The sequence below is a fragment of the Homo sapiens genome, chromosome 6, assembly GCF_000001405.40.
Source record: "Homo sapiens chromosome 6, GRCh38.p14 Primary Assembly".
In the NCBI taxonomy this organism is placed as follows: domain Eukaryota; kingdom Metazoa; phylum Chordata; class Mammalia; order Primates; family Hominidae; genus Homo; species Homo sapiens.
The window spans coordinates 153002720-153029072 of record NC_000006.12 but is presented as its reverse complement, the minus strand read 5'-3'; the positions used below and the strand labels follow the sequence as shown (position 1 = coordinate 153029072).

General features: G+C 36.4%; 1 protein-coding gene across 4 annotated transcripts in view, besides 3 other annotated features; it reads left to right on the top strand.

The window, feature by feature from the left end:
* Positions 1 to 24614, top strand: part of RGS17 (regulator of G protein signaling 17) — a 126824-nt gene extending 102210 nt beyond the window's left edge. For all 4 annotated transcript variants that reach the window (NM_012419.5, XM_047418634.1, XM_047418636.1 and 1 more), the window contains exons 3-5: positions 2530 to 2619; positions 4577 to 4811; positions 17311 to 24614. In NM_012419.5, coding sequence (NP_036551.3) covers positions 2530 to 2619; positions 4577 to 4811; positions 17311 to 17499 — 514 coding nt within the window. In that variant the 3' untranslated portion in view covers positions 17500 to 24614. The remainder of the gene's footprint in view (positions 1 to 2529; positions 2620 to 4576; positions 4812 to 17310) is intronic.
* Positions 13117 to 13299: a silencer, noted in NCBI's record as "fragment chr6:153336909-153337091 (GRCh37/hg19 assembly coordinates)". NCBI's record gives its function as "represses an EF-1alpha promoter that drives an FKBP-Casp9 reporter gene in an ReSE screen in K562 erythroleukemia cells {active_cell/tissue: K562}" and the evidence as "EXISTENCE:reporter gene assay evidence [ECO:0000049][PMID:32094911]".
* Positions 25207 to 26207: an enhancer, noted in NCBI's record as "NANOG-H3K27ac hESC enhancer chr6:153324001-153325001 (GRCh37/hg19 assembly coordinates)". NCBI's record gives its function as "activates a minimal SCP1, AML or CMV promoter by ChIP-STARR-seq in naive H9 embryonic stem cells {active_cell/tissue: H9 hESC(naive)}" and the evidence as "EXISTENCE:reporter gene assay evidence [ECO:0000049][PMID:30033119]".
* Positions 26007 to 26116: an enhancer, noted in NCBI's record as "active region_25294". NCBI's record gives its function as "activates an Ori minimal core promoter by ATAC-STARR-seq in GM12878 lymphoblastoid cells {active_cell/tissue: GM12878}" and the evidence as "EXISTENCE:reporter gene assay evidence [ECO:0000049][PMID:35858748]".

Below are 26353 nucleotides of genomic sequence, written 5' to 3'. Positions count from 1 at the left end.
TATTTCGTAATGATCGCTCTAATATGGTAGCATTTGGGATGTTTGTAAATATCACAGAAACAGATAGAAGAGCCAGAATTCATGTTCAGAAACTCGTGATTCATGCCTGTAGACTCCAGATTTGTCACTCTACGGCAAAGGCACAACGGAGAAAAAAATTTCTCAAAGATGTTTAATGAAATGAAGTATACCTGCGTCATGTGTACTGCCTTCTGTAGAACACTGTGTGGAAATGTAATAAAAATAAACTCAAGGAGTTTATTATTTAAGCAGGGGATGAAAGCTCTTTTGCTAGTTGTGTTATAGTGCCTTAATATGTGTTTGCACACACACATAGAAGCTCAATAAAGGTTGACAGAATGAGTATCAATTTCCTATTTTAAAAAGAGCTGAATAGAATTTACCAAAAAATTGTACATTTTATATATACAGGAAGTTTTACAGAATATTGTCAGCAGTGTATCCCCCCCCATCCACTTTTCCCATCATGACTGGAAATACATCAAATTCCAGAGAAGAACTTTCTTACTCATTCATGAATCTCCTCTAAAATACTTATCTGGCCTATTTGTATAGTGACATAGAGGACTGAGGTTTCCCAGGCTATCTCAAACCTCAGACACATTCACAGCACTCACACGCAAATACCTCCAAAATTATGCACTGTCTCTGAATTCCTCCCCAAAATTACACTACGCTAAAGGCTTTGCTGTCTCTAACCCTGGGACTGCTGCCTCCAGCAGGGGTCTAGTCAATGTGCAGCAGGTCCAAGGGACCATCCACTCTAGTTTCTGCTCCCCAGAATCCTTCTGGGCTACATTACCTTTCCCTCCATGGTTCGACACCAATAAACCTGCCCCTGTCCCTAGAAATGGGTAGAGGCAAACTCAATGTATTTCACTATGAAATCCTATGTTTTCTATGTCCTTTTCCTGACTACAGAATCCTTTTCAATTCCTATTGGGTTCTCCTTTTTCCAGTGAGTCTGCTCTCTCAGGTCAGTTTTCCTATCTAGCCTCACTTTCCATTGTAGATGGGCCCGCTTGTCAGAAATTAATATTTCCCTTTGCTCCATTCTCTCCGTCCTCACGCTTGCACTTGAGAATGAAAGAAGGAATTAAGGAGACATTGTCTTGGTTTCTCTTATCAGACTTTCCAGATTGAGAATAACTGCTTGTTGGGCACCTCTTCCTAAACACTTTCTTTCCATACCAACGATGTTTAGTGACCCTTCTTTGCATTCACATAGTAAGTGGTCTATGACCTCAGTGTCTATCAGCAGCCATGGTTCATAGCAGGCACTCAGAAATACAGGGTTGTTGAACAGGGTAGGCTTCCAATTCCAACTATAGCACCTATTTAGTGTTCGGTTTTGGGCCAGCCTCCCAGACGGGTCTGCACCTCACTTTGCTCATCTGTAAAATGGGGATAATAATATTAATGGTAAAAGAATGGTGCCCAGCACATAACAGGCACTAGAAAATCATCATTTCCATTGCTTCTTATTTTGAGTAAGTAAGTGAAAGAAGGAACAAATGAGAGATGTTATCTGAACTTCTTGTGCTCTCTGCCAGGCTCTTAAGCTCCTCGGCTTCTAGACAGAGGGATCAGTTGGCTAATTTGGGAGCTCAAATTTTCCCGAGCCACTGAGTTATTCTCCCTACCCTGCTTCTTAGTATCTCCCATGACCTCACCTGTTGTTTCTAGTCCACACCGAGAGTTTTCGGTGTTTTGCCCTAAAGCACTGCTCAGCTTTAGGGAGCAATTGTCATTGGACAATTCTTATTCTTATTCTTGTTCTGGGCTACTAAAACCTTCGGCATTATCCTCTGTCCTCTATGATGCTGTAGAATTCCCAAACCTATGCTACACAGACACACACCCCTCCCACCCAATGCTCACCTGTTCCAAATGCTCAGTTACTGGTCTGTCCCTTTCAAGACCTTGGACATTGATTTACTGGGGTGAAAGGGCAAAAACAAAGTCAAATATAAATCCGGTAGCTTGATTTTAGCAATTGAAGGAATGATATTATCGGTAACAATGTAAATTTAGCAAAATCTGTATTAGATTCTGACACATTGTATCTTATTAGCTCTCAATCGGGGAAAATTAATGGAAAACAGACTATGAATAGAATTAACCAAAAATCAAAATGACATTTTGTTTAAAGAGTAAGGTAATCATATGTGTGTGTGTGTATATACATATATATATAATATTAAGGCATTTAATCATATATCTCAGAAATATTCAGTAATTCAGATTATGTAAGGATGAAGTCAGAATATTTAACAATATCCACTTTTGGGAGTCTGATTTACTATATAATTTTATTTAAAAATTATTCTCTTCCCTTTGACATGGGCTTGCCCATCATTTAAAAATGGTATTGCTCTTTTATACTTTAAATATTCTCACATAGTTGAATATAAGATCTCCTGTGAAATGTTTCCCCAGAAAAATTTATTCTTTTCTTCAACTGATTGAATTTCCCTTGACAAAATTAAATGTTCTGTTACATTACAGCCTCACTGTGAGGAATGAAGAAAGAGGGGAAAATGCGGGAAGACCCACACACACTACAAAAATGGAGAGTATCCAGGTCCTAGAGGAATGGTGAGTGTGAGAACCACATAGCTATTGTTTCTTGCATTTATATGCCATTTACATCAACTGCGTGCCTCAGTATTACCCCTTGCTTCATGGTACTCTTCAAAATGATTTTGGGAAGTGAATGCAAATTCAATCTGGAAGATCTTATTTTGTCATTGCTGTTGCTTTTCAGCAATTTTTCTATTAGCTATGTTAAGTTATTGGCTAAAACATGATCTAAATTTACTTTTCTCTTTAAAAAAAATAAAGATTGTCTTATGAATTAGCACCCAAAATTGCCCTAATTCATTACTTCTCATTTCTGAGAATTCAAGTTTTTCTCTTTATAAGAGAAGTGTCTAAACACACACACAAATGATATGGAATGTCCAAGTGAGTGAGGAAGGGCACCCAGCGACTCCTGGTTCCTTTTCTACCAGAGCAGACTCTCCCCACGTGCTGCCTCCCAAACGAGAGGTACCTATGGACTAAAATCAAAATACAAATAGTCCAGTCATATAATTGTAAGTGCTTTCTTTTTCTGCTTTTTATGAGAAGGTTTTAATGATGCTTCATGGTCATTTTTAAGCTTTTTAAAATTAAAAATTGTTTTAAGTGAATGAGGAAGTGCAGAGATTATGGAATAGTAACAATCTATTTGAAATACCTGGTTAAAAAGGTAAATACATATATATTTACCTTTATATATGTATTTACCTTTTTATGTGTATATGTATTTACCATATATATGTTTATATATATGTTTATATATATATGTTTTTATATATATGTTTATATATATGTTTATATATATATGTTTTTATATATATATGTTTATATATATATATAAACATACTTCTTTGGCCAAATGTCTTTTAGATTGGAAAATTATTAAGTAAATCATTGAATAGGAAAGGAAGATCAGAATCATTTTAACCATAAGACTCTCCAAGTTTCTGTCTTCTACTTCTTTAATGTATAAGCAAGTGGATTAATTACTAGTGGTTTTTGCAGTCACCTAGTCACTAAAAGATCTGTATATAGTTTTAAATTCCCCAATGTCAGTGTCATTATAGAAGCACTCTGCTTCCAATTATGATAACTCCATTCATGACTAACAATTCGTACATTAACTTTTCGTAGGAAAAAAACCTTTTTTTTTTTTAGAGGCAGGATCTCATTTTGTTGCCTAGCCAGGAGTGCAATGGGATGGTAATAGCTCACTGTAACCTGAAGCTCCTGTCTCAAGTGATTCTCCTGCCTCAACTCCCAAATAGCTGGGACTACAGGCACATGCCAGCACACCCAGCTAATTTTTTAATTTTTTTTTTGCAGAGACAGGATCTTGCTATGTTTCCCAGGCTGACCTCAAACTCCTGGACTCAAGAGATCCTCCCACCTCAGCCTCCCAAAGCACTGGGATTATAGGCATGAACCACCATGCCCAACAGAAAAATTATTAAAGTTTAGGAAAATATGTGACAAGTGCACACAGTGTATTCTTATTTTAAATCAAGTGACAGATGAAAAAAATGGCCACCAGAGATGAGAAAAAAAAACTGTATCTTATGGCTGGAAAATTGAAATCCTGATTAGAGGCAAAGAAAAAATTCATGTTGTCCTTAGTCACTTACAGACAGTTTCTATCAACTTGCAACACATTGTTAAAGTTTGAACATTTCCAAGCTTCATTAGGAATGTACGATGACTGCATGCATATTATGTTTAGGCCCCTTGCTGTTTGAATGCTTGTCTCCCTACATGTCTCTTATGCCTGTGTGAATTTTTGTCAAAACCCTGAAATAACTGACGTAGTCCTGACAGATACTTATTTGGCACATCAGGCTGGACTGAGTGGCAAAATACTGACCACTAGATGGCAGCAAATTGATAGAATTTCTATCTGCTCCTCTCCTTACCTGGTCTAGCATTCACTGGTCACAAAGTTCCCTTTGATCACGGCCCCGTTCTGTCTCTGCAGCCAAAACCCCACTGCAGAGGAAGTCTTGTCCTGGTCTCAAAATTTTGACAAGATGATGAAGGCCCCAGCAGGAAGAAACCTTTTCAGAGAGTTCCTCCGAACAGAATACAGTGAAGAGAACCTACTTTTCTGGCTTGCTTGTGAAGACTTAAAGAAGGAGCAGAACAAAAAAGTAATTGAAGAAAAGGCTAGGATGATATATGAAGATTACATTTCTATACTATCACCAAAAGAGGTAAAAATCTGGAAAACATTGAGGTGGGCTTCCTAAGACCAAGGATAACCGTCAAGGGATGGCTGTCCACATTGGGTAGGGCATGGGGTGTGGAGAGGGTAGAAGATTTCACTGGGTAGATAATTCAGCTTCTGTTGGGAGAATTTCCTTGAACACATGTTTGAAGGCTAGGTTTCCCTACTATGCTTTGACTGTTTATCTCTAGCTGACTTGTGTGGTAGTTCACTTGCTTTTCAGAACTAACACTAAGGAGCCTGCTTAAACACAATTTGCTGTGACAAACGAAAATGGAAAGAGAGAATGTATTTTAGGGTGGTATTTCGCAAAGCATGACCCCTAGATCATGTGAATGAGAATCACCTGGAGCATTTGTTTAAAAAACAAATTCTTAAGGCCTAACCAGGACTTCTGAATCTGAATTTTTGGAAATAGGACCCAGAAATCTGCACTTTTAACAAGTTTTCCACATACATACTAGTTGGAAAACCTCTGGTATAGGTACTCAAAAAAAAGAAATCTGACATGTTTGTTGATGTTTATGATTGACTCTTTACAGAAATGAAAAATGATCCTTGACCACTAATATTCTTAGGTGGGAAATGGAAATTATATTACTTATTCTAGGTTTTCTGTTATTGAAAGTGCAAGTGTCTTTCCCATTGCCAAAATGTACCTAATCAATAAGCAATACTTCTAGCAACCAAATAGCACTTTTCCATTGACTGTTTAAAACTTAATTTGTTCTTGAGAAATGTTCCAGCTAACAGAGTTAAAAGCATTTGGTGAAAGAGTGGTTAATAATGTGGCCAGGCCCTTGGAGCCCTGTGTGATGGAGCTCCAGAGGGCTTCAAAGCACTTAGAGAACATAGAGGTTCCTAGAATGTCTTCTCTTTTCCATCCCAGCCTCTTTTTGTCTTTTTTGTTTCTCCTAAACAACTGTGATTTTTACCTTTGCATTTAAATGGCATGCCCCTCTCTTGTGCACCTGAACATTTATGGGCTACAGTCATCTGTTCCTCCTCCAATACCTGGCATGGTCCCAGGCTGCCTTACACTCCTTGCTTTGAGATCTATAAAAGGAATTAGTGTCTATTTTATTAACCTCTAAGTTTGGAATGCTACATAAACGATTTCACTTCTAATAAGATATACAGTACCTAAGTTATATAGTTTTTTTTAATTAGTTAGGTTAAAATGCCATTGGTATTCCAGAGTGCTCCAGGACTATTGTCTCTACAAAATGAGAAACCTTCTAGAATTAGACGCACAAAGGATTGATTTATTTTTTTATTTCCTACATGAACATGAAAAATGTATTCATAAAAGCAAGGTGGGGAGAATTTAATAAATGTAATACAGTGTGACATCAGTAATAAATATGTAGCCTCAACACATTTGTTACTGATGTCACACTGTATTTCTAACACCGGTATAATTCTGCATCTTAAAACTGCATTCTTCAGGCTTTTAGCCTGCCTCGAATTTTAGTATCTAAACAACTCTACTTGTATTTTATCAGTATAATAATTTTATGCTAATTTTTATTATTTTAAAGTTATTGCACATAGCAAATAAACCAGATGATCCAAATGTGCCCAAATATGTGCTTCTTTTGCCTGTAATTATACAAAATGAGAGTCCTTGGGAAGATTATCAAGCCCATTTCTGCCCCCAAAGTATGTAAGATGTGACATCTTAAAGTGATAGTTGTCTAGATTACTTAGTCCATTCCTTTGTGCTATATTTGTAGCATCTTAAAATGATGACTGTTCCATTCTTTTTCAGTGTTAGGAGAAAAAATATTCTCCATACTATGTCCCTTATTTTTACAGTTTCTGTTCTTTAATGTTTAGTTTTTTATGTAAAACATTTTCTTATTATCCACACAGCCCCTGATTTTCTGATGTCACTGATTGATGGAGCTTTGTAGAATACTTAATTTTTTCTTTTTGAGGCATGTTTAGAGTTACAATAGTGATTATTTAAATATAAACTAGTGAGTTTCCATTCTTTTTGCTAAAGTAATAGAGGTTTGTTTTCATCTAATTTTTTTTGAGACGGAGTCTCACTGTGCCACCCAGGCTGTAGTGCAGTGGCACGATCTTAGCTCACTGCAACCTCCACCTCCTGGGTTCAAGCGAATCTCCTGCCTCAGCCGCCCAAGTAGCTGGGATTACAGGCACCCGCCAACACGCCGGGCTAATTACTGTATTTTTAGTGGTGACAGGGTTTCACCATGTTGGCCAGGCTGCCCTCGAAGTCCTGACCTCAAGTGACCTGCCTGCCTCAGCCTCCCAAAGTGCTGGGATTACGGGTGTGAGCCACTGCGCCTGGCCGTTTTCACCTAATTTCTTTCTTTTGAACACAAGTTTCACCAGAAAGTCACTAAAATCTCATTTCCTGATCAAGAACATGACCTTTCCAGAATGACATACACTAATGTTTAGTGTCGTAACCATATTTACTCTCTCCTTTATGTTTCCTAATACCCATATTTTGGCCATTACCCGTTCTTTAATATCCTCAAAATATCACAAAGAAACAGAGACAGAGGTGAAATTCAACTTGTTCTAATTTTGCCGACTTGTAATTAACTCTTGGTATAGAAATTAATAGACCATTGAAGTGCCATTGTTTAGCCAGCTGATTTCTATCCTGTCAACAGAGTAATTAAATTTAATCATTGTTTAATGGCAAAAACAAACAAGCAAAAGTAGATATTTTCAGTTATAAAAGATAATTGTTAAAAAGCTATGTTTTAAACCAAGGTATCCTGTTCATTGACTCGACTCATTGATATACTCAGCGCATGGCATGCACTTTCCGGCTATTCCGAAGCCAGTTCAATCTATTATGTACCTCACTGAACTTCCTGTGCAAAAAGTCATCCATTTCTAATCAGCCACAATACATTACTGACTTACATCAAGTTACCACTCTTCAGATTTTGTTTTCTAACATTGGAGAGAGCACATGTCAGATTGAGAGAGTCCTGATTATACCGGAATTAGAGCACTGGACTAATATTCAGGTGCACAGGATTTTAATCCTGCCTTTGCTACATCCCAGTTGTGTGGCCTGGGATAAATCACTTTACCCCTCTGAGTCTCAACATTCAGTTCATTTGTTTACAAAAATAACAATAAAAATAAGCACAGAAACTAATAAACCAAATGCATAATGGCAACTGTAAGGCTATGAAGCTATTGAAAAGGTCTGTTAGGCCGTTCTGGGCTTTCTATCTCTGAAATTCTATACATGTTTCTATTTATTCAGAGTATTTGTGCTACTACTTCATCCTCTCTACCTAATGGCATAGCTTATCCATCATGGTCCTCCTTACTGCTGTCCCCACACTGAACCTCAGAATCTACTTAAACACAGTACTCAAGGCAGTTAATACCAATCTGAGTTCCTATCTGTTTCTCATTTTGGGGCTAGACAATCTTGGCTTTCTACCTCTGAAATTCTATGCATGTTTCTACTTATTCAGAATATTTTTAAAGAACATGAACATTTGACTCATTATAAAATGGTAATGCCTAAAAATTGTCATGATTTTACTGTTAAACAGAAGGCCATTTTTCTTCACTAGACTTTCATTTTACCTTAATTTGATTGCGTATTTGTGTTCCTCTTTGTTAAATATAGAAAAACAACTACATTTTAAAAATCATTTATATATAGATAACTTTTTCCCCTAATGAAACTATTGAAGTCAATGTGCTAAAAATTACATTACCTTATTTTAAGAATATGTTTTATGCATTTGTAATAATTTGAGCATTGTGTTATAAAATAAGAGATATCACCGGGCGCGGTGGCTCACACCTGTAATCCCAGCACTTTGGGAGGCCAAGATGGGTGGATTACAAGGTCGGGCATTCGAGACCAGCCTGGCCAACATAGTGAAACCCCATCTCTACTAAAAATACAAAAAATTAGCCGGGCGTGGTGGCGGGCACCTGTAATCCCAGCTACCTGGGAGGCCCAGGCAAGAGAATCACTTGAACCTGGGAGGCGGAGGTTGCAGTGAGCCAAGATCGTGCCACTGCACTCCAGCCTGGGCAAAAGTGCGAGACTCTGTCTCAAAAAAAAAAAAAAAAAAAAAAAAAAAAAAAAATATATATATATATATATATATATATATTTTTTTTTTTTAAGATATTTGCAATTAGGAGGTGACATAACTTCTGTTCTTGGTATAGTGTACATTTTATGAAGGAAAAGGCCAAACTAAAAAAAAAACTAGAAATTTACACATTTGTTTTAAAAAGTAAATTTTTTAAAAGTGATGTCTTCAAGGGAAAACAAATGAAGATAATAAAGAGGCCTTTAAGCCTAATAGTAGACTTGCTCCACATTGCAGATTTTGGTGGCAGCTTATATTTATTATTGAAAAGATGTGTTAGGCCAATCTTGCATTGCTATAAAGAAATACCTGAAACTGGGTAATTTATAAAGAAAAGTGGTTTAATTGGCTCACAGTTCTGCAGGCTTCACAGGAAGCAAGGTGCTGGCATCAGCTCAGCTTCTAGGGAGGCCTCAGGAAGCTTATAATCATGGCATAAGATGAAGGGAGATCAAGTACATCACATGGGCAAAGCAGGAGCAAGGGGTGGGGAGGTGCCACTCACTTTTAAATAACCAGATCTCGCAAGAATTCACTCACTATATCAAGGACAGAACCAAGAAGATGGTGCTAAAGCATTCATGAGAAATCTGCCCCCATGAACCAGTCATCTCCCACCAGACCCCATCTCCAACACTGGGGATTACATTTCAACCTGTGATTAGGGTGGGAACAAACATCCAAACGATATCAAAAGACAAACCTAGCAAAATAAATAACTTGAATAAAAAATCTACTTAGAGGCTCTTATCAACTGTAAACAGCATTAAGCTACTGAACAAAGAAATAACTATAAATCCTTCAATAAATATAAGATATGTATCTGAATTGAAGAAAACCATGGTCCAGTTAGGTAGAAATCTGCCTAGTGATGGCGTTGTCGTTACCAGGACTATAAACTGCATCTGTCACTTACCATCTGTGAGCCACTTAGCAGCTCGCTTTAGTGCGCTGGAACCTCCACGTCCTAGTGTTATGAATGAAGGCATGGGGAAAGCCCAAAAACCCGTGATATCTGTGATGTTCAAGCTCTGGGGAATGGTAATTGTAATCGTAGTAGGAGTTTGCTTTTTCTGATTTTTCTAACTTCCCAGTTACCATCTGAGAGAAAAAAGTAATAGACCTATTTGAACACCAGAATTATCTACAAAATAATGCTTATGTGATAGACATGCAGATTCTGTGTGTCCATGTAGATATGTCTTTAAGTGAAATTATGTGAATTTAGCACATTCAATGATTTAAGTCAGTTTTTCTAAACAGAACTCACTTGACTGTATTTTCCTAAATGTATTTTTATGCACGCATATTATCATTCAAAAAATATTGACTATTTCCTATGAGCCAAGCACTGGACTAGATGTTGGGGATATGATGATAAACAAGAGACACTGGCCGATCCCTTAATGGAGCTTACATTTTAGGAAGACAGACAAATCTTGTTGAAATAAGTAACTAAAAATTGTGATGGGCTGGAGATTGAATTAGATGGAATAGAAGTAGTCAGGTAAGGTCATTCTGAGAAGGTAAAATTCAAATTGATGCAAAAGCCAAACACATTGGGTTTGATCAAGATGATGTCATAATTATGATCAATTATTATTAATTACTTTACATTGGCTTCATTATTGGCACAGTGATCTTGCCTATATTATTACAGTCTGAGTCTCACAACAATCTTTCAGCCACGAGGACCGATGGTACCACTTTACAGCAAAAGAAACTGATACTCAAAGAGGTGAAATGAATGTTTGAGGAAATTATAAATATATCTGGTAGAGATAGAATTCAAGCCCAAGATCTTCTGATTCCAAATGTGGTGCTTTTCCAAATATACCATGCTGATTAATTCTTCCATTGCCTAATATTTTCTTCCTGATGTTACCTTAGATTTCTATAAACCCAACCGTAGAACTTCACACATGATGAGAAATAGCAACCTTAACCACAGGCCTGAACCCTCCCCTAGACCAGCAGGATATACTTTCCTATCATCCAGACACCACCAAGAGTATTACATTACAGTTTACCCTACCAATAATCTTTGTTCTAAGAGAGAAATTCAAACAACTGGTCTTATTTGCAATGTGCCATTATTTTCAGGAGAAATAACAAGCACAAAATAAAATGTGACTAAATGTACACAAAGTAAAAATGAAAATTGATAGGAGGATCATGTATTCTTTAGATTTATAAAATTTAACATAGGAATACCAAATTTAGTTCAAATTAAAAGCAGAAAAGAAAATTTCCAGTGGCAGATGTTACCATTGGTAAAATTTGATATGGACTTATAAAGGGAAAAAATTAATCAGAATTTTACTTGGAAAGGAATTCTAAATAAAGCAACTTCAGTAACAGTAAAAATAAGAGAGAAAAATGGAGAAAACACTTGGATGTGATACGTGAAAAACATTGTTCAGGGAATTAAATAACATAAAGAAAGGTTCTCTACAGAGAAAAAGACTTTCAGTAAAAATTCAATATTCTCGTATAATTATGCCAAAAATGTCCATAGGATCAAATTTTCCCTTGCATCTTGATGACTGGAATAAAAAGGCAGGGTGAAAAGTTGGTGTACCCCCTTTCAGCAATGCTAACCCACCTTCATGTCCTCCTTCAATGAATAGGAAATCTAGTAAGATTAACCAGGGTATATGACTCCGTTTAGCCCAGATTTTCCCAAGCCACACTAACAAGATTTCTCTGTCTTCATTCTCCTCGCTTTACCTCCATACTTTTGTTGACCACTTCGCTCTCATGACTTTTTGCTTGCAAGTCCCTTGCTTTTCTGCCTCCCTGTCTCCTGCTCCCTGTGGGAATGAATGCTTCCAAGTTCACCGAGACCTATTGCAAAGTCACTTGTGTCTTTTTAAAACTTCAGTTGCTATGTCTCAACATTGCCGGACTTTTCAGCACTGCTAAAACTGCCAGTTAAATGCGGTCAAACCTATCATGCTGTCTTGTGCCCTGTCTCACAAGGGTAGTGCTTTTGTGCTATAAATTCTGTTATTGCTGGAATGCACTCTTTTCTCCACACCACCTTGGTATGGGTCTTTGTGGCCTGAGATAAGAGGAGACATGCATTGCCCGAGGATAGCTCTTATCTTGTGCTACTCAACTTTCTCTTCCCTTAGGATGAGTTCTTTACAGGAAATTCCTCAGTCCCTCATGCAATGGAGCCCAGATAAGATGGCTTTAGAAGCCATCCAGACACACCTGAATCCTAGGGTGACTGTGGCCCAGGCCCAACTGGGATCCACCACCAATACCTTGTATTATAGATGATCCACATTCTGAAGCACAAAGATGGCACAAGATGAAACAATAGATTGTTATCCCCATGGGGTTTATCCTTATTATTTGACCTCGCTACACTTCTTTTGACTGATCGACAGCCTTTTCAGACAAACAACCTGATATTAAGGTAAATATTTTATTCTTTAAATAGAAATAACAAATGCATTTTTGTTATAGATTACTAAATATTGAACTGTATGACTTTACAATATTTCACTACTGTTTTTAGCTTGCAAAAAAATTAAAAATTAAACAATGAGGACATAAGCCATTTAATAGTTTATTTTATTTGTCTTAAGATAATAATGATTCCTTCTACTGAGAAGAAACTTTTACACTATATTTAATGATACTACTTTTTAAGAAGTAAATGACCCCCCCTTTTTTAATCTCTAATGTAAGGTTTCCTGCTCTATTGAAACAAAAAGTTTTCTCAAGTTTGAAAGAAAACAGAGGAGTGTGTTTGGTAAGAATTTACCTTACCATAACATGATGTTCCAGAATAAGATAAATCAGTTTATCTCAGTTTAAACTCCAGTGTCAGCATTTCCCTCTGGCATATAAATGCAAAAATACATTTTCAGGTAAAATAAAAACGTTGGGGAAAAATATTCTGTGCTTTTTAAAATTACTTTGTACTTGATAGTGACCTCATGTGGTAATAACAGAAAATAAAAACTGAACAATTCATTTCCAGAACATTTTTATTTTTAAAGAATTCCCAATAAAGACAAATGTGTAGTTCAGCCAAGTAATGTTTTTTAGGCTTGCTTCAGCAATACTGCAGGTTCAGTTACAGACAACCACAATAAAGCAAATACCACAAAACAAGTCGCACAAATATTTTGGCTTCCCAATGCACATAAAAGATATGCTTGGCTGGGCGCGGTGGCTCACACCTGTAATCCCAGCACTTTGGGAGGCCGAGGCAGGCAGATCACGAGGTCAGGAGATTGAGAACATCCTGGCTAACACGGAGAAACCCCGTCTCTACTAAAAATACAAAAAATTAGCCGGGCGTGGTGGCGGGCGCCTGTAGTCCCCGCTACTCAGGAGGCTGAGGCAGGACAATGGCGTGAACCCGGGAGGCGGAGCTTGCAGTGAGCCGAGATCGCGCCACTGCACTCCAGCCTGGGCGACAGAGCGAGACTAAAAAAAAAAAACAAAAAAAAGATATACTATACTGTAGTCATAGTATAAACAATACTTGGCAATAGCATAGCAACAGCATTATGTCTTAAAAATGTGGATACCTTAATTTTAAAATACCTTATTGATAAAAACCGCTAACAGTCATCTGAGCTTTTAGAAAGTCATAATCTTTTTGCTGGTGGAGAGAGGGTCTTGCTTCGACATTGATGGCTGCTGACTCATCAGGCTGGTATTGCTGAAGGTTGGGGTGGCTGTGGCAATTTATTCAAATAAGAAAACAATGAAGTTTGCCACATCGATTGACTTCCTTTCATAAAAGATTTCTCTATAGCATGTAATGCTGTTTGGTAGCATTTTACCCACAGTAGAGCTTCTTTCAAAATAGGAGTCAATCCTCTCAAACCCTGCTGCTGCTTTATCAACTAAGTTTATGTAATCTAAATCCTTTGTTGTCATTTCAACAATGTTCACAGCATCTTCACCAGGAATAGATTCCATCTCAAGAAACCACTTTCTTTGCTCATCTATAAGAAGCAAGCCCCTATTCTTTAGAGTTTTATTATGAAATCGGAGCAATCAGTCCTATCCTCAGGCTCCACTTCTAATTCTAGTTCTATTACCATTTCCACCACATCTGCAGTTAGTTCCTCCACTGAAGTCTTGAACTCCTCAAAATCATCCAGGAGGGTTGGAATCAACTTTTTCTAAATTCCTGTTAATGTTGATATTTTGACCTCCTTCGATGAATCACAAATGTTCTTAATGACTAGAATGGTGAATTCTTTCCAGAAGGTTTTTCATTTGCTTTGCCTAGATCTATCAGAGGAATCACTATGGCGGCGATAGCTTTATGAAATGGGTTTCTTTTTTTTTTTTTTTTGAGACGGAGTCTCACTCTGTAGCCCAGTCTGGAGTGCAGCAACGCGATCAAGACTCACTGCAAGCTCTGCCTCCCAGGTTCACGCCATTCTCCTGCCTCAGCCTCCCAAGTAGCTGGGACTACAGGCACCCACCACCACACCTGGCTAATTTTTCGTATTTTTAGTAGAGACGGGTTTTCACCGTGTTAGCCAGGATGGTCTCGATCTCCTAACCTCGTGATCCACCCACTTCAGCCTCCCAAAGTGCTGGGATTACAGGCGTGAGCCACCGCGCCTGGCCTCTGAAATGTATTTCTTAAATAATACTTGTGAGTTGAAATTACTTCTTGATCCATGGGCTGCAGAATGGATGCTGTGTTAGCAGGCATGAAAACAATACTAATTTCCTCGTGCATCTTCATCAAAGCTCTCGGATGACCAGGAGCATTGTCAATGAGCAGTAGAACTTTAAAAGGAATCTTTTTTTTCTTTGAGCAGTAGGGCTCGACAGTGGGCTTAAAACACCCAGTAAGACATGCTATAAACAGATGTGCTGTCATCTAGGCTTTGTTGTTCCATTTATAGTTCACAGGCAGAGTAGATTTAGCATAATTCTTAAGGGCTCTAGGATTTACAGAATGGTAAATAAGCATTCGTATCTGTTTAAAGTTACCAGTTAGTATTAGCCCTTAACAGCAGAGTCAGCCTGTCCTTGAATCTTTGAAATCAGGCATTGACTTCTCTCTGGCTCTGAAAGTCCTAGATAGCATCTTCTTCCAATATAAGGCTGTTTTGTCTATACTGAAAACCTGCTGTTTAGTGTAGCCACCTCCATCAATTATCTTAGCTAGATCTTCTGAATAAATTACTGCAGTTTCTACATCAGCCATTTGCTGCTTCACCTTGAACTTTTATGTTATGGAGATAACTTCTTTCCCTACACCTCATGAACCAACATCTGTGAGCTTCAAACTTTTCTTACACAGCTTCCTTACCTCTCTCAGTCTCCACAGAATTGAAGAGAGTTAGGACCTTGCTCTGGATTAGGGTTTGGCTTAAGGGAATGTTGTGGCTTGTTTGATCTTCTATCCAGACCACTCAGACTTTTTACATTTCAGCAACAGGTTGTTTTGCTTTCTTATTCACATGTTCACTGGAGTAACACTTTTAATTTCCTTTGAGAACATTTCCTTTGCCTACACAACTTGGCTAACTTTCAAAAGAGGCCCAGCTTTTGACCAGTCTCAGCTTTCGACATGCCTTCCTCATTAAGTTTAACTAACCATTTCTTAGCTTTTTATTTAATGTGACAGATGTGTGAATCTTCCTTTCACTTAAACACTTAGAGGCCACTGGCGGGTTATTAACTGGCCTAATTTCAATATTGTTTTCTCTGTGGGAAATAGGGAGGCCTGAGGAGAGGGACAAAGATATGGGAATAGCAGGTCAGTGGAACAGTCAGTATACACACTATAGTCATCAATTAAGAATTAATTAAGTCTTATATGGGCATGGTTCATGGCCTCCTAAAACAATTGCAAGAGTAACATCGAAGGTCACTGATCACAGATCACCTTAAAATATATAATAATGATGAAAATTGTGAAATATTATGGGAACTACCAAAATGTGACACAGAGACACAGAGTGAGCACACGCTATTGGAAAAATGGTGCCAGTCGACTTCCTTGACACAGGATCGCCACAAGCCTTCAATTTGTAACAAACGCAGTATCTGCGAAAAACTAAATAAAGGGAAGTGCAGTAAAATGAGGTGTCCCTGTATGAGTTGGTCTGGCTAAGCCACAGAAATGTAGTCTGGATTGCCATCTCCCAACAAATCTAGTAGCCATCCCTGGGGTGTAGCAATCAACCCAAATCCACGTGGTCTGTTGAGGTCAGGAACCTGGGGACACTGGATGGAATAGGAGAGGCTTCAATAAGAGACTGTATTAGTTCCCAGACTTAGTCTGAACAGTGGTGGGAAAAGAAGCCAGAACTAAAAGGCATTTGCAGAATGCTTATGACAACATGTTTAAATATAAATATGGAAGGTTTTATGTGAATATGTCATGAAATAACTATGGTTCACAGGTCCTATTCCTTGCTAAACAGTGAGGATCGAGGAAAACAATCTGGACTTTGAGTGGTTGTTTACCACTTGTAGGGTTGTTCTAACATGGTGTTTCAGCGCAGGGCTTTAGTTCTGTTCCTCCAACCATGCCCTTATTGCCAAGTATTTTTCCCCATTTCCCTTTCCAACATGTTTTACCAGTTCCAAGAGGATTTGCATTTAGTGAGGAAGGGGGAAGATCCTAAATCATTGCAGAATTTAATTTTTGTACACTTTTCAAATAACACTGTATTGATTATCTTAATGGTCATTCTGCATTCCTATTCCTATTTCTCCTCTCAAAGATCTCACTCCAAGCAACTGATCTGCTTCATCGTTAGTAAGAGGTCTTTGGATATATAAGGATGTTTGCTAGTCCTTGCCAGGTAGATGTGAGACCTGAAGCATACCTGCTCATTGCATGCCCTGCCACACTCTTGGTTTCCTACTTTTGACACAGTAGGACTTGTTAGGATACAAAACTGTGGGGAGTTGGCATTTTATATGCATGTTAATTTTTGCCAGGGAACTCTTTTCTGCCAGTAGATTTTTATCTTCTTATCAATATTGCCAACCTCCCCCAGTCACAGAATAGCAGGAGGTGAATTCACATTCTGGCTAGGAAATTTCTGGTATCTCAACCATGATTAGAAATTGTCAAAAACTCCTGAATGAATGCATAGAAACCATAAAACCAAGTAAGCAAAGACATCTGTAAACTAAATTTCTGGTTTAAAAGACTTAATTGGATTTTTTTATTTAGTGCAAATTTTGAAGGAGAAAAGTACATAAGGTTGTGTAGTCTCAAAAGATGAACCCAAGACTTTTGGTAGTTGGATTTGCTCTTTAAAGTTTCTCTAAAATGTCACAAACCTACAGTTACTTAATTGAGGTCTTTTGAAAAAAATATTATTTAATGTATTTGCTCTTGTTTCTTTTTAGGTCAGTCTTGATTCTCGAGTTAGAGAGGTGATCAATAGAAATCTGTTGGATCCCAATCCTCACATGTATGAAGATGCCCAACTTCAGATATATACTTTAATGCACAGAGATTCTTTTCCAAGGTTTTTGAACTCTCAAATTTATAAGTCATTTGTTGAAAGTACTGCTGGCTCTTCTTCTGAATCTTAATGTTCATTTAAAAACAATCATTTTGGAGGGCTGAGATGGGAAATAAAAGTAGTTAAATAACATCAGAAACTGAGTTCCTGGAGAACTACAGTTTAGCATTCCTCAGGCTACTGTGAAAACACAACCGTTATGGTCTTTGTCTCCATTTTTATCAAGGTTTTCCATGGTTAAGTTTGGAGAAAATACCACACAAAACAATGAATTGCCAAATTGTTTGTTTTATTCAAGACTCATTCTACTTGCAAGCAAAGTGTATTTGTAGTCCTATGAACAGTCTCCTCGTGTATCTCCAGAGACTGCATGTGCAAAGTAAAATGCTTCATTTGCCACATAGTTGTTGTAATATTTAATCCAGTAGCATAACTTATATCTGTATTTAAGGACTTTTGTGCAATATGGTCTTAAGAAATAATTGCCAAAAAAATCGGCCATGGTTTGCATTTTTTAACATAATCTAAGACAGAAAAAAAGCAATTTTTACTATGTAACAATGGTATTCAACATTCTATATACTGTGTTTAGTACACTAATTTTGAAGCCAATATTTCTGTACATGAAAAAGAGCTATTTATCTCTGTTTGTTGGAAAATCCTAATGGGGATTCCTCTGGTTGTTCACTGCCAAAACTGTGGCATTTTCATTACAGGAGAGTTTACTATGCTAAAAGCAAAAAACAAAAAAAAAAAAAAAGGGAAGAAGGAAAAAAGCACAAAACAATTTGAAGATATCCTATCTCAATGACAAATCAAAAGAGTGATATTGCTTTTAACTGTAATAGAAGAAAATGAATTTATGTATATATCAGATGTCCAATACTGTAATTAATTTATTAAAGACTGGCTCTCCAGTTTTAAAATGGTTGTGTAAAGTTATGTACTTCAGCAAGAAAAAAATAATAATAAGCTTGATAACTTAGTTTTGGAATATAAAGAAAAGGACTTAATAAAGGAATGCCTACATGTAGCACTGTAAAACATTTTGATGAATAGCATCTGTCCTGTGGCATATTTTCCTTGAAAGTGAAATCCAATGAAAAGCTAAGTTTTTACCAGGAAAAGTTTTATAAGGGTTATGAAGAAAATAATCCTCTACTTCAGACCTTAACTGTTTTCACATAATATCTTAAGGATGACATTTTAAAGATGTTTAAACCAAACTATTAGTTTTCATCCATCATTAAAAGGCAGTACAGTGCTCAAATCTTCCAGCTGCCATATTATTTTTTATAAGTACACTAAATCTTTACGACAAAACACTTGCCTGACATTGTCATGTACTTCTGACCTTCAAGGAAACAATATTCTGTCATGCATAAAAGTGATAATTAAAATAATCAGTGTCATATTTATATCAAAGTGTTACATTTGAATATTAATATCCCCTGAAGACTATTTTTTTAATATTAAACTGAATGAATATAATACTGAGTAACCTAAAATGAAAGTTTTAAAAAGATTTATATCCACTGAGAACACTGGCCTTATATTAAGGATGATATTACAGTTACAGGTTTTCTTTGTCATTTTTTTAACTACCTCTCATTTTTTAATTTATTAAACATATTTTTTAAAAAAACAAGTTTGGGGGTTTCTTTTTAAATTTATTTTACTTGAAAGGTTGGCATCACAAGTTTCTTTTTCCATAAACTTAAAACATTTCAAAAATGGTTTTTTTAAGCAAGTATGATTTTCTAATTTATATAGAATTCAGGAGACATGAATAAAAGGGCTATTATCTATTCCCTATGCAAATATTTTAACTGTTGCAGTGTTTGACAAAATGGGATTTTTTAAAAATTGCAGAGTAGAAAACAAAATATTCTGTTTACACTGGCGTTGCTGACTATCCTACCATATTCAGCACTTTTAAATACGTTATTTATGAAAATGCAGTTAAAATGCAAGATAGAAAATATTTATAATAATCATTTCTTTTAACAAATGCCTGTGTTTTCTGAAAGTGTTAGTGTGTTAAGACATATTTTATTCATGTCATTTAAATACTATTTGAATAAGTTTTCAGTAATATGTTGAAAAAAAGATAGCTATGAAGATGTTTACAAAAAGTCATATTTTTTCCTAAAGAGTAAAGAAAAACCTAAAAGAATCATCACTTCTATTGTGAAGTTCTATTGTTCCTAAATTATTTAATTTTTTTCTTGCTTAGAATTGAGTTTATTATGCTACTATGATATATACACATGTATGGTGTAGTATCATATTTGTTTCTGTGTGTGAGGCTCAACAAATTGGTGCACATGACTAGAAAATATGTAATATACTGTGATACACTGCATGCATCCATCTTTTTAAATGTAGACTTTATATTCTCGTTGTTACTATATATGATGGTGACCTGCTAGTCATAAGTTATCTTTATAAGATACTTTGGACTATTAGATGAATTGTCTGTTTGACAATATCTTTAATATTTTACCAAATGTAAAAGATAAGGGCCGTTATAAAGAGTCCTAATCTCTAACCTGGGCATTTGTAGAACACAGATTTTAAAGTTGGTATATCCTTTTGAAACCTGATGAGGAAGTTGAGTTAAAAAAGATTCGAGAGCAGATTTACACATCAGATGTTGATAACCATGCTATGTGAGCATTTCTGTGCTAAACTCGTATTTTTGGGTGAGGGGAGGGTTTCTCATTTAAGAGTATGTCTGTATATTTGCAACTCTACTAATTTTCTAAGTATGATATAATTCCTTCTGTTTAAGTTACAGAGCTATTATAAATAAACAAAAGAGCCTTCAACTGGTGTCTATGCTACCATTCCAAGAGCACAATATTTGTTTTCTTAGAATTTGAGTTTTCCTAGTGAGTAAATTCCTCCCTGGGGAAAAATTAGCACTTTAAAATGGACACTTTGTGTTTTCAATTGCCAAGGTATCTTTGTATACTATTAGAATTTGCTGATGCACACAGAAAGAGATTAATGCACTTTCTATAGTGCCTAACTTTAGATGTATCTATAAAAGAAAGTAGAGGATACAGATTATGTATATATAAATAAATTGGAGAGCCAGATTTCTTCAGAGATTGATCTTGTACATTAATCACACCAGTAATGGATGGATGGCACTTCTTTACTCGGGCTGTTATGATGTTATCCAAAGGTAGTAGAGATGCTCTGACAGTGTTGGAGTGTGCACATGAACAACAAGAGCAAAACACAACTTTGATACTAAAGTTACGAAATGCAGAAGTCAAGACCATAATGTGATGTTTTTTTTTTTTGAAATCTTAAAATATGTACATAGAATGACCAGTTCTGATATGCCGTCTTAGTGCATGGATGTTTATTAGTATCCTTTAATGCTGCCTAGGTTCTGACTTACAGAATGAAATACGTGTTGTTTATCTACCTGATAGTTCAGTTTTGCCAAAGGACTATAGGGATAAGTGAATAATATTTATTTATTAGGAGCAAAAATACATTTTCATCCCATTAAGCTAATTTAAAATAATGCCTGATTTTTACTTTTGAGTTTATCCATTTTTCTATACCTTTAACTTATTTATACTTTAAAAAATCATATTGTAATTGTGACAAATTATATCTCAAAAAATACCAATTATTAGATGCTTTGGTGTTGAAATGTAAAAGAGAAGGAATTTAAAATACAATCAAAAAAGTCAAAAATAAAACGTATTTGAAAACCACCTAAAATTTCTTGGCCAGGCACAGTGGCTCAAGCCTGTAATCCCAGCACTTTGGGAAGCCAAAGAGGGCGGATCACTTGAGCTCAGGAGTTTGAGACCAGACTGGCCAACATGGTGAAACCCCGACTCTAGTAAAAATACAAAATTAGCCGGGCATGGTGGTGGGTGCCTTTAATCCCGGCTACTTGAGAGGCTGAGGCAGGAGAATCGCTTGAACCCAGGAGGCAGAGGTCGCAGTGAGCTGATATCATGCCACTGCACTCCAGCCTTGGCAACAGAGTGACTCCATCTCAAAATAATAATAATAATTATAATAATAATATTTTTAAGTCTTAGACAGAAAATGCCTATAGATAGAAGCCTATCAAACATGTATTTTGAATACTTTGATCTTGACACATTGCCTAATTATTTTGAAAGATGGTAAAGATATTTCCAAAAAATATTTTCGCCTATCTGTTTACATTGACAGTTTACAACCATAATTTTCTAAGTATATTTTTCAAACATGTATTTTTGTGTTTTCCATCTTCAAATTTCTGACCAATGGGTTTGTTCTCCTGCAAAAACAATATCCAATCTGCAAAAATTTTTAATTCTTCACTTGCTACAACTGCAAATATTTATCAATAAAACTGATAACCCAAAACTTGCTTCAGATTTTCCCTGCAGTGCTTAAAATATCCTTGCAACACAAGATGGTGCACAATGACAAGTATTATTTCTGAATACCCAGATTTGATTTATTTATAGGTATTTTTGAAATTATTACTCTTACAGGTGTAGTCCTCTCCAGCCCCAAGTAACATCTTTTCAGATGAATTCAAGAGGCTGTTCAAGACTTTGACTCTACTGAAAACACTACAAAAGGCAAAATGTTGCCCTAGGTGATAGAAGGTCCCAGTTTGGGAACTGATTTTCTTCCTATGACAAAAGCTATAAGATGAGTAAGGTTACTAATGGAAATGTATGTCCACAGATTCACTTAGGGAGCATAGTGTAAAAACATCAGGAACTTAAAATTACAAATTTGATTTCAAGTTATATTTCTGTCTCATGTGACTTTGGGCAAATCATTTATCTTCTCTGAGTTCATTTCCTCATCTGCAAATGACAAATAAAATACGTAATTATCAGGATAACTATGAGCATTAAATAAAACAAACGTGGAAAGAATAAAGTGTGGCATACATTATTATTTTATCAAAGTGCATCACGTCAATAATTGTTATTGTATACTTGTATTAAATGTCACTTTAATGCACTTTCCCCTATTTTTTTCCAAAACATACGTTAAACATCTGATTTAGCTACTCATCAAAACATACAATCATGTTTTAAGATGGAACACTATATCAGTGTTACTGCTTTTCTCAATAATGTGATCCCAAATCAGTACTTTCAGTTCACCATCACCTCAAATCTATAGAAATGTTTCTTTCAATGACATAGATAGATAGATGATTGATAGATAGATGATAGATAGATGATAAATGGATATACAATTATAGGTTAAAATTAAAGTTTAAATAAGATCAATCATTTGAAAGTTTTATTTCCAAAGGAAATAAAACAACATTCCCAAGGACAGAAATAATATCAAATTACTTGCTAAATATATAAATGAGTTATAGGGCTAAGACTAAGTTATAAGAGATTGACAATTAGAAAACACTCTTTTTAATATTAAGGTGGTATGATTTTCTTTAACAATTTTACAATGAAAATAAAAACTTAATAAAAGGTGGTAATGGGCCAGGCACGGTGGCTCACGCATACAATCCCAGCACTTTGGGAGACTAAGGCGTGAGGATCACTTGAGCCCAGGAGTTCCAGACATGTCTATGCAACAAAGTGAGACCCTGACTCTAAGAAAAAAATAAAATGTATAAAATTTAAAATAGTAATGTGTCCATTAAACCTTTTATTTTAGAGTAGTTTTAGATTTACAGAAAAACTCCAAATAGAGAGGTCCCATATACATCTATGGGCATTAATGAGCCAATATTGATCATTACATTCATACTTCATTCAGATTTCCTTAGTTTATAACCTAATGTCCTTTTTCTGTCCCAGGATCCCATTCAGGATACCACATTACATTTAGTTGTCATGTTTCCTTAGGCTTCCCTTGGCTGTGACAGTTTCTGCAACTTTCCTTGTTTTTGATGACAGTTTTGAGAAATAAACTGGTATTTTGTAGAATGTCCTTCTATGGGGATTCGTCTGATGTTTTTCTCGTGACTAGACACAGGTTTTTGGTTTTTGAAAGAACACAACGGTAAAGTGCCATGCTCATCACATGGTATCAAAGGTATATGCCATCACCGGGACTCGTCTTAGCTGTGACAGTTTCTCAAACTTTAGGCTACTCTTAGCTGTTGATGTTAACCTTGATCACTTAGCTGAGGTAGCATCTATTATATTTCTCCACTGTAAAGTAATGCGTTTTTAAAGAGATTATATTGAAGGTAAATTTTCTGGACATTTACACTGAGCTAAACAAATTCTAAACACTAATATTAGGTTCCACTAAGTGATTACTAATAAATGCTATAAAGAAAATACAGTGAAGTGGAAAAATAAAACTCCAGAAGTCTTAGCCTGAATATTCACCTAATAGAGGTGAAAGTGAATTTTTCCCTTGAACTGTCTGCGCAATTTACAATAATCCTCCACATACTTTGGATATTAAAGATCTTATCTTACTAATTGTCATAAGAGGTAATTTAAATTTAAACTAACCATTTTGCTTATTGCATTTTTATATTGCCCTCCACTAATCAATGAACACTGAATATTGAAATAATGTAAAAGACCTATTTCCCGCTAGCTTTAACCGATTTGTCATAAACACCTTTCTTGTATATGATTTTTAAATGTTTGCTAAATATTAAAAAGAATTCAATGTGTTTGGTTTTGTAAAATTACATATCGAATGTGTATAATTTTTTACTACCATGTTCATCACACTTAATCTATATCCATATATTGTACTCCACCAATATTTATCAGTGGACAATAAAGAAGTTTTGAATGCATGAATGCAACTTAAGAGGCACCACACTTGGTTATTTTGCAATGCCAGAATAACGGTGGGTATTCACAAATTGAATAGATAATCCAGATTATGTTTCCTCCAATTTAAGTTTTTCTGGGTTTTTTTTTCCCCCTTCCTAGAATCAATTTTATCATTTTACCTATGTACAATAATATACTTCTGGAAAATGCTAGAATTTTCACCATGTAACAGAATTTGAGCATGACAGTAATGTAAAAATATTCAGAAGTCTCGAACTATAGGTTTGAGTTTTCAAAGTAAATCAAAATACAGCTGTTTTCATTTTACTAGATTGTGGAAACCTATGGATGTTATTGTAAAATGCATATGCATTACACTGACTTTCTTAAAATGTTTTGAATTAATAAAGAATTCAACAATGTATCCTTAGAAAGTTACTGTTTCCTCATTGGTATATAACACTATAGGAATAAAAGGTACACTTCTATGTGTTACTTAAATTGCTTATGCACTTGGGGGAAAATAAAATTCTGGCTAGATTCTTTACATTGTTCTATAAGGTTTTAATTATTAAAATGTTTCACCTTTTATAAATAATAAAATATATTGTTGAAATGACTTATGTTCTGAGAACTCAACTGAGAGATATACCATGTTGAGTTCAAGTGATTCTCACCATTTCCATGGTTAAGATAAATTCAAAGTTAAGTTCAGACTTGGGAAACAATTGTTCTAATAGAGATAAAAACATCCTGATCAGTCCTGTTCTATCCTCAGATCAGGATTAAAATAAAATGGGTTTCAACAGCAGAACGATTGTATAAAGTTGTGTAGCTTGAATACACAAAGTGAAAAGAACTGAGATAATTAGGTGGAGCCTTTAAGTAGCAAAAAACTATTTTTGCTTCCTGATGTTTGAAGAGTCATTTCATTCTTCCACTCACTCTGCATTTGTTATCGTGCTAAGAGATGAAAAGAGAGAGGCAATGCAAACGTTATTTTCTAAGAATGTTTATACTTAACAGTTTCGATTAGATGACCTAAGGATATTTTAACCTTGATAAGGGTTCCCATTTTTTACCATTTTATTTTTTATGAATAAATTAGAAGTTTCGTACTTCTAATATATCACCTCTCTCAACAGTGAAATACCACTTAGTAGACGCTGCCCAAACCAGTTAGGTAGTGGCAGTTCTCAGATTGAGCGTTTAGCCCTTGCATTCCCAGGACTGTCTTGGTTGTGTTTATTCCCTCATATTTATTTCTCCGTTGAGCTGTGAACAGGTCTTTTGAAAAGTGCAAAGCATTGTGCCAATAAATGTCGGTATTGCTGGCACCTATCCGCTACCAGTTCTTTGGAAAGGGATGAGGGTTGGACTCCTGGAGGCAGATATCTGAAGGCTTTGTTGGGCTGTAGGTTGCTGTAACACGGAATCACTCCACCTCTTTAAAAAGCTGACGATAAGTGGGACTAAGTGAAAATGAATGGGCAGGTGAATAATAAAGTCCTTTGAAAGCAAGTAAATGACGCGGCAGATGAAGGGCACGCACGTCTATTGTGCAAATTCATTCAGTGGTTATCTCATAATACACTTATCAAGTCCTTATTACCACGAACCTCACCCACCGTGGACAAGAGAAACATAAGCAGGAAAAAAGGAGGAGGAATAAACACACGCCTGTCCATAATAAAACTCGCTCTTGAAGACTCAGCGGCAGCCCTGCACCGGAGACTGACGACTTGCGCGGCTGTGACCTCCGCCCTGCAGCGGACCCTCGACTGCCCTGCACTGCGGCTCTGGAGGCCCCGACTCAGTGCATGGGAAAGAAATCCTCACTATCAGAAAACAGAGGGGCAATCTGCTGCTCTCCCTTTCCGGCCAAACACGTCACCCATCAACCGGATACCTACCAAGAGGCTTTCAGAGGAGGCGCCCAAGGTCTCCCAGGCCCGCCCCTCCCCAATCACGCTCCGCTCAGCCCCCTCAACTTTTGGCCTCCGGGAAGTTCGCAGCGTTCTCACGCTTGGCAGGAAGTTCCCGCCAAGGCTTCCGGAAAATCCTTTAAAAAGCAACGCTTGCGCTGGGCGGGGCTTGGTGCGCTCTCACCCTTATCTCCAAATTCTGGGTGTTGTCGCGAGGGCTGCTGTGTCCGGAACTTCC